The sequence below is a fragment of the Homo sapiens genome, chromosome 2 (assembly GCF_000001405.40).
Source record: "Homo sapiens chromosome 2, GRCh38.p14 Primary Assembly".
Lineage (NCBI taxonomy): Eukaryota > Metazoa > Chordata > Mammalia > Primates > Hominidae > Homo > Homo sapiens.
In genome coordinates this window covers 199,628,644-199,643,419 of record NC_000002.12, presented here as the reverse complement: position 1 = coordinate 199,643,419, position 14,776 = coordinate 199,628,644, and the positions used below count along the sequence as shown (strand labels likewise).

At 38.6% G+C, this 14,776-nt stretch overlaps 1 long non-coding RNA gene across 1 annotated transcript in view; it reads right to left on the bottom strand.

Moving 5' to 3' along the window:
- Positions 1–14,776, bottom strand: part of LINC01877 (long intergenic non-protein coding RNA 1877) — a 51,065-nt gene that overhangs the window by 15,713 nt on the left and 20,576 nt on the right. The window contains exons 3-5 of the long non-coding RNA NR_110270.1: positions 14,274–14,356; positions 13,321–13,495; positions 11,525–13,174 (exon numbers count right to left, since the gene is read on the bottom strand). This is a non-coding gene — a long non-coding RNA (long intergenic non-protein coding RNA 1877). The remainder of the gene's footprint in view (positions 1–11,524; positions 13,175–13,320; positions 13,496–14,273; positions 14,357–14,776) is intronic.

The following is a 14,776-nucleotide window of genomic DNA, read 5'->3' as shown; positions in this document are numbered from 1 at the left end:
AAGATTAACAGCAGATTTCTCAGCAGAAATCCTACAGGCTAGAAGGGATTGGGGTCCTTATCTTCAGCCTCCTCAAACAAAACAATTATCAGCCAAGAATTTTGTATCCAGTGAAACTAAGCTTCATATATGAAGGAAAGACACAGTCTTTTTCAGACAAACAAATGCTTAGAGAGTTCACCACTAACAAGCCACCACTACAAAAACTGCTAAAAGGAGCTCTAAACCATGAAACGAATCCTGGAAACACATCAAAACAGAACCTCTTTAAAGCATAAATCTCACAGGACCTATAAAACAAAAATACAATTTAAAAAACAAAAACAGGTCGGCTGCAGTGGCTCACACTTGTGATCTCAGCACTTTGGGAGGCCGAGGAGGGTGGATCATGAGGTCAGGAGATCGAGACCATCTTGGCTAACATGGTGAAACCCTGTCTCTACTAAAAATACAAAAAAAAAAAAAAATTAGCCAGGCTTGGTGGTGGGTACCTGTAGTCCCAGCTACTCTGGAGGCTGAGGCAGGAGAATGGCATGAATCCAGGAGGCAGAGCTTGCAGTGAGCTGAGATGGCACCACTGCACTCCAGCCTGGGTGACAGAGTGAGACTCCATCTCAAAAAAAGCAAAAACAAAGACAAAAACAAAACTTTGAACAAAAAAAAAAAACAAATAACCAAAAACCAAGGTATACAAGCAACAAATAGCATGATGAATGAAATGGTACCTCACATCTCAATACTAACATTGAATGTAAATTGCCTCAATGCTCCACTTAAAAGATATGGAATTGCAGAATGGGTAGGAATTCAACAACCATCTGCTGCCTTCAGGAGACTTACCTAACACAAAAGGACTCGCACAAACTTAAGGTAAAGTGGTGGAAAAAGACATTTCATGCAAATGGACACCAAAAGTGAGCAGGAGTAGCTATTCTTATATCAGACAAAACAAACTTTAAAGCAACAGCAGTTAAAAAAGACAAAAAGGGACGTTGTATAATGATAAAGGCCTTGTCCAAAAGGAAAATATCACAATCCTAAACACATATGCACCTAACACTGGAGCTCCCAAATTTATAAAACAATTACTAACACACTGAAGAAATGAGACAGACAGCAACACAATAATAGTTAGGGGACTTCAATACTCCACTGACAGCACTAGACAGGTCATCAAGACAGAAAGTCAACAAAAGAAACAATGAATTTAAACTATACCCTGGAACAAATGCACTTAACAGATGTATACAGAACATTGCATCCAACAACCCCAGCATATACATTCTATTCAACAGCGCATGGAACTTTCTCCAGGATAGACCGTATGATAGGCCGTAAAACAAGCCTCAATAAATTTAAGAAAATTGAAATCATATCAAGCACTCTCTCAGACCACAGTAGAATAAAACTGGAAATCAACCCCAAAAAGAACCTCTAAAACCATGCAAATACATGGAAGTTAAATAACTTGCTCCTGAATGATCATTGGGTCAAAAATGAAATCAAGATGGAAATTTAAAAATTCTTTGAACTGAACCACAATAGTGACACAACCTATCAAAATCTCTGGGACACAGCAAAGGCAGTGCTAAGAGGAAAGTTCATAGCCCTAAACGCCTACATCAAAAGGTCTGAAAGAGCACAAACAGACAATCTAAGGTCACACCTCAAGCAACTAGAGAAACAAGAACAACCAAACCCAAACCCAGCAGAAGAAAGGAAATAACCAAGATCAGAGCAGAACTAAATGAAATTCAAACAAACAAACAAACAAACAAACAAAAAATAAATAAAACGAAAAGCTGGTTCTTTGAAAAGATAAATAAAATTGATAGACCATTAGCAAGATTAACCAGGAAAAGAAGAGTGAAAATTCAAATAAGCTCAATGAGAAATGAAACAGAGATACTACAACTGATACCACAGAAATACAAAAGATTATTCAAGGCTACTATGAACACCTTTATGTGCATAAGCTGGAAAACCTAAATGAGATGGATAAATTCCTGGAAAGATACAACCCTCCTAGCTTAAATGAGGATGAATTAGATACCCTAAACATACTGATAACAAGCAATGAGATTGAAATGGTAATTTAAAAATTGCCAACAAAAAAAAAGTCCAGGACCATACGGATTCACAGCAGCATTCTACCAAACATTCAAAGAAGAATTGGTACCAATTCTATTGACAGTATTCCACAAGCTAGAGAAAGAGGGAACCCTCCCTAAATCATTCTATGAAGCCAGTATCACCCTAATACCAAAACCAGGAAAGGACATAACCAAAAAAGAAAACTACAGGCCAATATCCCTGATGAACATAGATGCTAAAATCCTTAACCAAGTACTAGCTAACTGAATCCAACAACATATCAAAAAGATAATCCACCATGATCAAGTGGGTTTCATACCAGGGATGCAAGGATGGTTTAACATATGCAAGTCAATAAATGTGATACACCACATAAACAGAGTTAAAAGCAAAAATCACATGACCATCTCAATAGATGCAGAAAAAGCATTCGACAACATCCAGCATCGCTTTATGATTAAAACTCTCAGCAAAATTGGCATACAAGGGACATATCTTAATGTAATAAAAGCCATCTATGACAAACCCACAGCCAGTATAATACTGAACGGAGAAAACTTGAAAGCATTCCCTCTGAGAACTGGAACAAGGTGAGGATGCCCACTCTCACCACTCCTCTTCAGCATAGTACTGGAAGTCCTAGCCAGAGCAATCAGACGAGAGAAAGAAATAAAGGGCATCCAAATTGGTAAAGAGGAAGTCAAACTGTTGCTCTTTGCTGATGATATGATTGTTTACCTAGAAAACCCTAAAGACTCCTACAGAAAGCTGTTAGAACAGATAAAGGAATTCAGCAAAGTTTCCAGATACAAAATTAATGTACAGAAATCAATAGCTCTTCTGTACGCCAACAGTGACCAAGCTGAGAATCAAATCAATAACCCAACCTCTTTTACAATAGCTGCAAAAAATAAAATAAAATAAAATTCTTAGGAACATACCTAACCAAGGAGGTGAAAGACTTCTACAAGGAAAACTATAAAACACTGCTGAAAGAAATCATAGATGACACAAACAAACGGAAACACATCCCATACTCATGGATGAGTAAAATCAATATTGTGAAACTGACCATACTGCCCAAAGCAATCTACAAATTCAACACAATTCCCATCAAAATACCACCATCATTCTTCACAAAATTAGAAAAAGCAATTCTAAAATTCATATGGAACCAAAAAAGAGCCCACATAGCCAAAGCAAGACAACAAAAAGAACGAATCTGGAGGCATCACATTAACTGATTTCAAACTATAAGTAAGGCCATGGTCACCAAAATGGTATTGGTATAAAAATAGGCACATAGGCCAGGGGGGGTGGCTCATGCCTGTAATCCCAGCACTTTGGGAGGCCAAGGCCGGAAGATCACTAGGTCAGGAGTTTGAGACCAGCATGACCAACATGGTGAAATCCTGTCTCTAATAAAAATACAAAAATTAGCCAGGCATGGTGGCACACACCTATAATCCCAGTTACTCAGGAGCCTGAGGCAGGAGAATCACTTGAACGTGGGAGGCAGAGGTTGCAGCGAGCAGAAATCATGCCACTGCACTCCAGCCTGGGTGACAGAGCGAGACTCTATCTCAAAAACAAACAAACAAACAAACAAACAAACAAACAAACAAACGGCACATAGATCAATGGAGCAGAATAGAGAACCCAGAAATAAACCCAAATACTTACAGCCAACCGATCTTCAAAGCAAACAAAAACATAAAGTGGGGAAAGGACACCCTTCTCAACAAATGTTGCTGGGATAATTGGCTAGTCATACGTAGGAGAATGAAACTGGATCCTCATCTCTCACCTTATACCAAAATCAATTCAAGGCTGATTAAGGACTTAAATCTAAGACCTGAAGCTATAAAAATTCTAGAAGATAGCATTGGAAAAGCCCTTCTAGACATTGGCCTAGGCAAGGATTTCATGACCAATAATCCAAAAGCAAATGCAATAAAAACAAAGATAAATTGCTAAGAGTTAATTAAACTAAAGAGCTTTTGCATGACAATAGGAACAGTCAGCGGAGTAAACAGACAGCCCACAGAGTAGGAAAAAATCTTCACAATCTATATGTCTGACAAAGGACTAATATCCAGAATCTACAATGAACTCAAGCAAATCAACAAGAAAAAACCAACAATCCCATCAAAAAGTGGGCTAAGGACATGAATAGACAATTCTCGAAAGAAGATATACGAATGGCCAACAAACATGAAAAAATGCTCAACATCACTAACGATCAAGGAAATGCAAATCAAAACCACAATGCGATACCACCTTACTCCTGCAAGAATAACCATAATCAAAAAATCAAAAAATAGAGTAGATGTTGGCCGGGATTTGGTGAACAGGGAACACTTCTACACTGCTCGTGGGAATGTAAACTAGTACAACCAGTATGCAAAACAGTGTGGAGATTTTTTAAAGAATTAAAAGTGGAACTACCATTTGATCCAGCAATCCCACTACTGGGTATCTACCCAGAGGAAAAGAAGTCATTAAACCAAAAACATACTTGCACACACATGTTTTTAGCAGCACCATTCACAATTGCAAAAATGTGGAACCAACCCAAATGCTCATCAGTCAACGAGTGGATAAAGGAACCGTGGTGTATACATACAATGGAATACTACTCAGCCATGAAAAGGAATGAATTAATGGCCTTTGCAGCAACCTGGATGAGATTGGAGACTATTATTTTAAGTGAAGTAACTCAGGAATGGAAAAGAAAACATCGTATGTTTTCACTCATAAGTGGGAGCTAAGCTATGAGAATGCAAAGGCATAAGAATTACACAATGGGCTTTGGGGACTCAAAAGAAAAGGTGAGAAGGAAGTGAAGGATAAAAGACTACAAATAGGGTGCAGTGTATGCTGCTGGGGTGATGGGTGCACTAAAATCTCACAAATCACCACTAATGAACTTATTCATGTAACCAAACACCAGCTGTTCCCCAATAACCTATGGAAATTAAAAAAATTAACAACAAAAAAGTAAAGTAACTACATTAAATGAAAAAATAAAATAAAATAAGGCTGGGCACAGTGGCTCACGCTTGTAATCCCAGCACTTTGGGAAGCTGAGGTGGGCAGATCACTTGAAGTCAGGAATTCAAAACCAGCCTGGCCAACATGGCAAATCCTGTCTCTCCTAAAATACAAAAATTATCTGGGCATGGTGGGAGGTGCCTAATAAACTCAACTACTTGGGAGGCTGAGGCAGGAGAATAACTTGAACCTGGGAGGCGGAGGTTGCAATGAGCTGGGATCGCTCCATTGCACTCCAGCCTGGGTGACAGAGCGAGACTCTGTCGCAAAAAAAAAAAAAAAAAAAAAAAAGAAAGAAAGAAAGAAAGAAAAGTGAGGTGAATAAATGAATAAGCCTTCATTGACCTTTTGGATTTTATACCTCCAGATAAACCCAGTTAATGTGGTCCCTAACCAAATTGTGGGCACTTTTATAAACTGAACTACTGTTTCATTTACTACACTTCCATCCTTCAAATCCAGTCAAAGAGGCTAGATGTGCAAACCCCTAAGCTAACTTTGGGCTATTAACACCAGCAAGTTAACTCCACAACCTTACTTCTGATTTATAACATCTTCATGACATTTCCAAAGTACAAAGACAGAACTAGGATTCCCTGCCTTGTAAAAATTTGAAAAATCGCTATCATTGAAATACTGACAGATTTTATGACTAAATCATCCCTCCCATTTTCTTAAAAAAATTGGAGTACTAGTTTCTGTTCCTTTATTTGGTATCTCTTTGCCAAAACTTAAAATCCTAACATTCAGAAAGTTATTTTTATGTATTTTTACCTAATACTTTTTTTCTGCAGTTAAAGTCCATTTCTACTTATTATGGCCTTTGGACACATGTGGAAAATTTGACCTGTACATAAGTACTTTATGTGTTTGAAACCTTACTGTATTAGAACAATCTGAAATTTTATTTGGCTAAAATAAATAATCCTTACTAAAATCCATTTTTCTTTTCTTCCCTTTTCCTTGTTGGCAATTCTATCAAAATAATGAATAAGGGGGAAATCTGTACCTCCAGAGATAATTGAACAGGCAACAATAAGCCGCCTGGGGTTTATAACTAAGCAGGGAATGTGTTAGGCCGTCCTATCAAGTGTTGCTGGGAAAACATTATCTGGGAAGATTTTATGGGAAGAAGACAACTTCCAAATAAGGCTCAAGTTCATAATGGAAAAGTTAAATATGATTTTTTTAATAGTTGGCAGAGTACCCCAACACAATACATTACTATTTCAGACTTCTCATGAGTTATGTCCTACTACAAAGATAATGGAAGAGATGCGTACTTACAGCTTTATTAACAACCTCATAATTTGTGTCTATTGTGCCAAAGACTTACCACAACTTAATCTCTCAGGGAACCATAATGCCATAGGGACAGAATCTAATGTCGGCTCCTATCTTCAGACAGAGCTACAACTAAACCATCCTTCCCAATTTTTTTTTTCCTAAAAATTGGAGGACTGTTTTCTGTACCTTCCTTGGGTATTCCATTACCAATGTTAAAAACCCTAAAATTCAGAAATTTTTAAAAAAATTTTTCACCTGAAGCTCTTTTTCTGCTGTTAAGTTCAGCTGCTACTTATTTTGGCCTTAACAGAGATACAGAAAATTTGATCTGCACATGAGCACTTTATGCATAGGAAACCTTACTATATTAGGACAATCTGAAATTTTATTTGGCTAAGATAAATAGTCCTAATTCTGTTTACTTCTCCTCAAATACCCTATTACTTAAGCCTCAAATCATCTTTATTATATCCTTTTAGGCCTCTCTAACATTTCCATGTCCTTCTAAGTTGTGCTTCTAAAACTTAAGTACAATTGTTTATTAAGGGCTCATGCAATGCCCAGGAGAAGGAGGTGGTTTGTATTCTTAAGATTCTTATATGTTTCCCTTTTACTTAGATAACTCAGAAGCAACCTGATTTTTGTCTTCCCATTAGGAACTCTTGCTTGAAATAACCCTTGTTTAAAATTGGGCATTAACTTCCAGTTTAAAATGTTAGACCGAGCACAGACATCTACCTCCTGTTCCTTAAAAGATGCTTTTGAAATGACAGCAAATATTTTCTTTTAATGAAAGCAGAACAATGCGGAAAAACATGTATTTGTCAAAAATGTGAAAGAATTCCTAGAATACTGAAAACATATGTGAACCAATAGACAGAGACAGAGCAGAGGAAACCATAGCCCAAGATAACAAGAATACGTATGGGATGTTCTCAGGAGTCCCAGGAAAGCTCCAAGTTCAAAATCACTAAAGGCAAAGGGTAACAGTGGCTAGTTCCAGGTTATTCCTTTAAAAGAGCATCCCTAACCACTCCCACCATAAGTGGCCAGCAGTGGGAATTTTTGTCCTTGGGCAAAAGCCTGAAAATTACACTTTAAAGGAAATGAGTGATTTTTGCCCAAAGCTTTGTAGTTAGGGTTTTGGGAGCTGAGAAGGAATCAGAACCTAGGCTGAGTATTTCCAGAATATACAACAGATATGGAGGGGCTCTGCTTCTACATCATCACCATCCCCACTCTGGCTGATGGAGGAACCACCACATGGAACATTGTCATTTGATGTCGCAGATGTAAAAGGAGAGTTCTAGAGGCCTTGGAATAAAAATTTTACATGTGGAAACTTAAAAAGTTGATCTCAGGCCGGGCGCGGTGGCTCATGCCTGTAATGCCAGCACTTCGGGAGGCTGATGTGGGTGGATCACCTGAGGTTGGAAGTTCGAGACCAGCCAGACCAACATGGAGAAACTCTGTCTCTACTAAAAATACAAAATTAGATGGGTGTGTTTGGTGCATGAGTGTAATCCCAGCTACTCGGGAGGCTGAGGCAGGAGAATCGCTTGAACCTAGGAGGCGGAGGTTGCCGTGAGCCAAGATCGCGCCATTGCACTCCAGCTTGGGCAACAAGAGCGAAACTCTGTCCAAAAAAAAAAAAAAGAAAAGAAAAAAGAAAAAAAAAGTTGATCTCAAAAAAAAGAAAAAAAAAGTTGATCTCATAGAAGTAGAGAGTAGAATAGTTACTGCTAGAGACTACAAGGTTTGGGGGGAGACAGTCAGAGATTGGTTAACAGATAGAAAAGTATAGCTAGATGGGAGAATAAGTTCTAGTGTCCTATAGCACTATAGAGTAACTATAATCAACAATTTAGTGTATATTTTCAAATAGCTAGAAGAGTGGATTTTGAATATTCCCAACACAAAGACATGATAAATGTCTGAGGTGATGGAAATGCTGATTAACCTGATTTCAGCATTACACATTGTGTGCATATATAAAAATATCACACTATCTCATAAAGGTACAATTATTATGTGTCAATTAAAAATAATTTTAAAAATCTGAGTTATGGACACTTTCTTAAAAAAATAAAACAGAAAAAAAGCAACATACATGTACACACAATTTTGCAAACCACTTTAAGAGATTTGCCTCTAAAACTTATCCACAGAGCTCTGGCAGCACAGGCCCAGGTTAGGAACCTTAGAATGGTCTTACTTGGAATCTGTTTGGACCTCATGATGCTGACACCTGCAGCCTAAGAGCTGGAGTGAGCACATGGATGGGGCAAGACAGTCCATGCTTTTGCTTCTGGGAGCAGGAGTGTAGTCTCTAATTCTGCCTCTAACATTATAGCGGTTCTCTAGGACCGCCTCATGTGAGTGAGGAAATGCAAAGAACCAAAGGCTGCCTGATAGTTGTGTGTGGTAGGGTGTGGTTCCACAGGAAACAAGTTTCCTCTGATCCAGTGGCCACTGTGCTGTGAATTCTTGACTTTTGTATACCACGCAGCAATTCACAGAGCACTTTTATAAACGCTGTCTCATTGGACTCACGAATATCTCTGGAATCATGAGGTCAGGAGCAGCAGTCTCATTTTACGAAGTAAAGCAGTGAAGCCTCAGAAGGGTTAAATGACTTGTTGAGGGTCGCCCAACCAGTTAGTGACAGGGTTGAGACTAGGTTTTCTGACCATAATCAAACAATTTTTCCATTTTACCCGCCCCCGCCAACCCCGGCCCAGGCTAAACTTCTGTGTGAGTAAAATGTGGAATATGATTTTGGACTCTTGAAAAAGCCTCCTTTCTCTAATAGCACACAAAGACTTTCTATTCACAAGCAGAGAGACGGCTCAAAATGCAAAATAAATTTATTATCACCAGGAATACTTGCTATAGCTATTCGAGAACAGGGGCTGGAGGCAATAGGGACTATCCTGTGTGGTAGTCTGTAGGGAGCCTGTGTGAGGCACTGGATGCCCGAGAAAAAATATAGAGATTAAGTAGATTCCCTAACACAGCTGTTGGGCCCCTACTTCCCAACAGGGCCTAGAGCTGGCCCTAAGAACATTAAAGAACAGCAGGAGGTTTGCGAGAGAAGGAAAAGTACAAATAACTTGTTTTGTAGAGGCCTAGCCATTTAGGAACTGGATCTACCTCAGCTGTGTATCTCCTAGCCCAGCCCCAGGGCTGGCAGAGAGTAGATGCTCAGGAGCCGTGTGTGCTAAGTGGAGGAAATGCAAATGGTAAACCGGCCCATGGAGGATCAAGATGAGTAACTATCTATGAGATACTCTGAGACTGTCAAAAATGACTTTTCTACCAGTGACATTGTCAACTGGCATACCATTGGTTAGAAGGCAGTATTGGAACTCAGAAAACTGGGGTGGACAAAGAACTGAATATAATTTTTTGGTTATTTGGGAGTGGGAGGGTCACATACTGGCAGGTGGTGAACCCAGTGACCCAAGAGACCTCTTTTATTTGTGAGTCCCCTATGGTTAAATAACAAACTGCTTTTCACAGTTTGGTAATTCAGTGGTTCCTTTCCATAACAGGAAAAAAAAATGAAAGTAACTAACCATCAACTAAGACCTTGAATTCCCTCAGCTGAGAGAAGAGACTAATGCACATAGGTCATAAAAAAAATTAAAGTTCTGCTGCAGCAAAGAGGGAGAGACAAGGCTGTGCTAACGATCTATCTCATGCTTTCTTGTTGTATGAAGAAGGCCATGATGACAGCTAACTTTCAAGACCTCCAGTATGAATCAGTGGCATGACCACTGTGCTTCCCTAGGTAGACCCTGAAAGAAGCACAGAGAAGAGAGTCTGGTGGGGAAATCCTACCTCCAGGATTTAACCCTCCTCCATTTCTCATAGCGTAGTTGAGTAACCCCAGCAACATCCTCTAGCCCAGGGTTTCCCAAACCAAAGTTATTTCTTTATAATGGTCACAATTTTTGTCTTATCCAAGTACCAGCTGTATTTGTATTTCTTTGACATTTTCCTGTAAATTCATCTACATTTTTAAACCTGATGCTAGAGCTTAACACCAACTGCTTGTTCAGTATACAAGCAATTATTTTTCTAGAAACAACAAAATAGCTTCAGTTTTTTGTGTGTTTTGTGGCCTAAAAGTACATTTTTTTATTATGATTTTTCTTTGAATATTAGGTTCTTGGGGAATGACATCACTTAAAACAGAAACTGGGGAAATACTTTGTATAAGCCTTTAAAATGTGGTTAAAAGTTGGGAAAAAACAGATTCTTCCAATCAATGATAGTTTTGGAAGAAAGTGGTGTACCCAGAAAACTTCTCTCTCTCAGTCCTTGGTTGTGCAAGTAGGGAAGGAGGTGACTTTCATTCAGAAAATGAAATATAATAAGAATGAGGTAAATTTGGTCAAAATAATGACAAAGAAAATAAAATATTTCTTAAAGACAAAATCACACTGCAAGGCAATTTGTATTCACTACAGAAAGCTTGCCCAAAGTGAAACTTAAGCTATTTCAGAATTCTTAGTGAAGATTAAATCTCTCTAATTTGTTCCTACTCAGGGGAATCACAAGATGTGGAATTTACAGGTTTCTAACCTAAATGGTCTTTTGCAACTGAAAGGACATCCCTAAAGAATAAGGAAAAGATTGGCCTCACTGGCCTCTCAGGGAATGGCATGGTTTTGGACTATGTAAATCAGCAAATGTATTGCTTTCTTACCAAGTTCAGAGTCTGCATTTTGTAAACCCAGGAGCACAAAGGTAAAAGATAGAAGTCCTACTCTGTGTGAGTTGTAATTGAGTGAAAGGAAAACAAGCAAACAAAAAATTGCAGTACATTGCAAGTACTGAAGGCAGTAAGAACTGACATGTATTTAGTGATCATCATATGATACACATAAACCTACCAAATCCTCATGAAGATACACTTCACATATGGAGAAACTGAGACACAAAACAATCAAGCCATTCATCAAGGTGGCAAAGTTTATAAGTAGCAGAACCAGAAATCAAATTGAGACTGGTTCCAGGGCCTTAGGCATCACAAGTTGGGGAATCTTCAAAGAAAGTGATCTGAAGATGAAGAAGAGCTTACCAGGCATATGGAGATCAAGGGGCGAGAAGCTGAGATATGACACTCCAGTCCTAGAAAACAGAGTATATGAAACATCTCTGAAATGACTATTTAAATATGATGAGTTGCTAGATGTGCTTCAAAGTGAATTATGAGGCACAGTTCCCACCTTCATTACACATTTATTAAGCATCTGTTATGTGCCAGGAATTATATTCCACAGTAGGAATATGGCCATCAAGAGGACACCATCCCTCTCCTAGGCCAGAAGGGTCATTATATGTGATTTGAAAATCCATTGAGTTTGGATAAATTGTTTGAGAAGGGTGGCATAAACTCTTAACCTCATAAAACTTAATTAGAACTGGGAAATCTGTCAAATTTGGGGGTTTTGTTTTACACCTCGATAAAAACAAACAAACAAGCAACAACAACAAAGATTCCTCATCCTTTCCCCACTGGCAAAACACTTTTATTTTCCATAAATGCTTTAATCAGTTTGGAGTGTTGGTTTAAACGTTTAGAGTGTATTTGAGAGCTTTAAGTATCAAACAGAGTTTTAAAGTGGCTTTTCCTGTTAACACAATGTTTCTTGTAACCAGTGAGTTGTGCCAAAACTCACTGTAAAGTAATACTGTCAGGTGGGGTTGTATTTTGGCAGTAATGCATCAACCTTTTGAATGGCACTACATTTTTTCTAAGTGTTCAGTTCACATTTTGTCTTTGCGCACAACTTCCAGAACATCACTTTGCCATCTTGTAAATCGGTTTGCATTATTTGTGATAATACTTACCCTTTATTATAATTACCACAAGTCATGGGAAGGTTCAACTGTTTCACTAGTTAACTGAGAACAACAAAGTCTAAAGTTTCATTGAAATCACATGTAATGCTTGTGTTCCAAGGTCAGCTGGAAACTAATAGGAATAATTTAAGCCATGATATCCCAACTGAGGCTGAGCCACGCTAATCATTCTGCAGGTCATACTAGAGTGATTCTGGAAGGAAAAAAAGACATCCCATTTCTCCCTCATTAAGTATACTGAAGACCAACTTTGTAGGAGGAAAGGATTAATCTATAGCAGGGTGGTCACAGTTCATGCCTGGAGAACCACTCACAGGCAACCCTTGGCAGCCAGGAGCCACAGCCAAGTGGGTCTTAGGGGACTAAAGAGCTGATTCCCCTTTCTCCTTCCTTTTTTTTTTCCTTTTAGGTGTCTCTTCTCTCTTCCATAATCTAGCAAGTGTGGAACCAGGGGATTCTGAGAATGTCTAGAGTCCCTTGGAAAATTTTCTCACTCACCACCTTCCAAAGCTGTAAATGTCAGGAAGCTTTGAGAATGAGGAAGGAAAGTCTTGCCATTCTGCCAAAACAGCCAACTGGAAAGCTCCCTGTGATACCCACTGGCCTTTTGTCTAAAAATTTCTAGCCCTTTACCTGTAGTCATTATTTTTATTTGATAAAGTCATAAGGGACTTACCTTCTTCACCATGAGTAAAGGAGCCTGTCTCAGTCTGCTTTGTGCAGCTATAACAGAATGCAACAAACTAGGAACTTTATTAAAAACAGAAATTTATTTCTCACAATTCTGGAGGCTGGGAAGTCCAAGATCAAGGGGCCATATCTGGTGAGGGTCTTCCTGCAGGATCATAACATGGCAAAGGGCATCCTATGGGTGAGAGATAAAAGGGGGCTGAACTTTTCTTTTTATAACAAATCCATTCCCGAGATAACAAACCCACTCCTGCAATAACAGCATTAATCCATTCATGAGGGCAGGGTCCTCATGACTTAAACACCTCTCAAAGGTCCCACCTCCCAGTACTGCTGCATCGGGGATCAAGTTTCCAACACATGAACTTTGGGGGACGCATTCAAACCACAGCAGAGCCTCTTCTCTCTTCAAGCTTTTGTCAGGCACTTCCCAGGGGTGCCTTTTTTCTTCTGTGAATAAAATCAAGCTGGGAAGACTGCTTCTATGAACTGCAAACTTAAATAAAGAAGAAGAAGAAAATATGTCTAGGCAAAATAAATATAGAATACATATAGTCATCATCTGCCTAATTGTGGCATTTTAAACAAAGATGGAAGAGAAAATAATTTTATAGGCTATTGGAAATCCTGAATCTGTTAGTCCACAAAGTAAACGCAAGCTTATAAAACTGGAAATTCCCAGGAGACCACGTTACTGCCCCCCACCATACGAACCCCATTTTCTCCATTTGCTTTGAAGGAAGGAGAATGGGAGTGGGGGAAACAAGAGTTCTAAGTAATATATTTTTCTGCTTTTGGAATACATAAAGGTTCTACACAGACCTCTAAGTAACAACAGTTTTCAGGAATGTTGAAGAGGGGACATAATTGTTGACACAGAGGATGCCAGACCAGGGATCAAAGAGTTGCCTCTGGCTATAAGAAACTTAGAAGCTGCTGGGTTGTGCTTCCTTAACCCTCATACTGCTATTCACACCAAACTTGGGCACTTACCAGAATCTCCTCTCTCTATCCCTTTTCTTTGCTTTCTAATTCCCTTTGAATCTTAATCCCTATAGTTATTTATGCTTTGCAAAATGCATTCATAAATTATGATGAAAATGAAATTTCATCTGAAATTGCTGATAGTAGCCTGTTTTGCCCTACAAATGGGTATTTAGTACAATTTAATATACTGCCTCATTTTATCACCTTGATACCCTTTTTGCAGACACAGCCTGTTAACTGTGGTGAGACTCAGCCCCAGAGATCATATAACAAAAGAAGTGGCTGACCTAGAACTTGAACCTGGGTGTCTGACTCTAAATCCAGTACTCTTTTCTCCCTGCACTGCTGCTTCCTGCTTCTTGGGCTGACCCTGCAAGAGAAGAACAAGAAAAAAGGAAGATGTGTCTAGGTTCTGGGTTCTTCACTGTGGATGAACCACCTTTGCAGGTCCCAGGCAATCTTCTCCAGGCAATCTCTCCTCCAGTGCTCAAGATATCAAATATATAAAAATGCACCCACATCTCGTATTACTTATAATTTTTATAAATTTTAAAAATTGATGCTTATAATTGTGTATTTGAAACTATTTGGCTATGAATAACACATAACTTATAATTGACTATGATTTCTTGATCACTTACAAAATGATGAAATCTAGCCTACAAATTGCTTTCAAATATAATGAAAATTTCATGAATTCTAAATTTAACACCCAATGAATTTGGCATGGAATTACCTTTTGGAGATATTTAATTAAACATTTATTAATTTTAGTTTTGCCCTTTTTGCA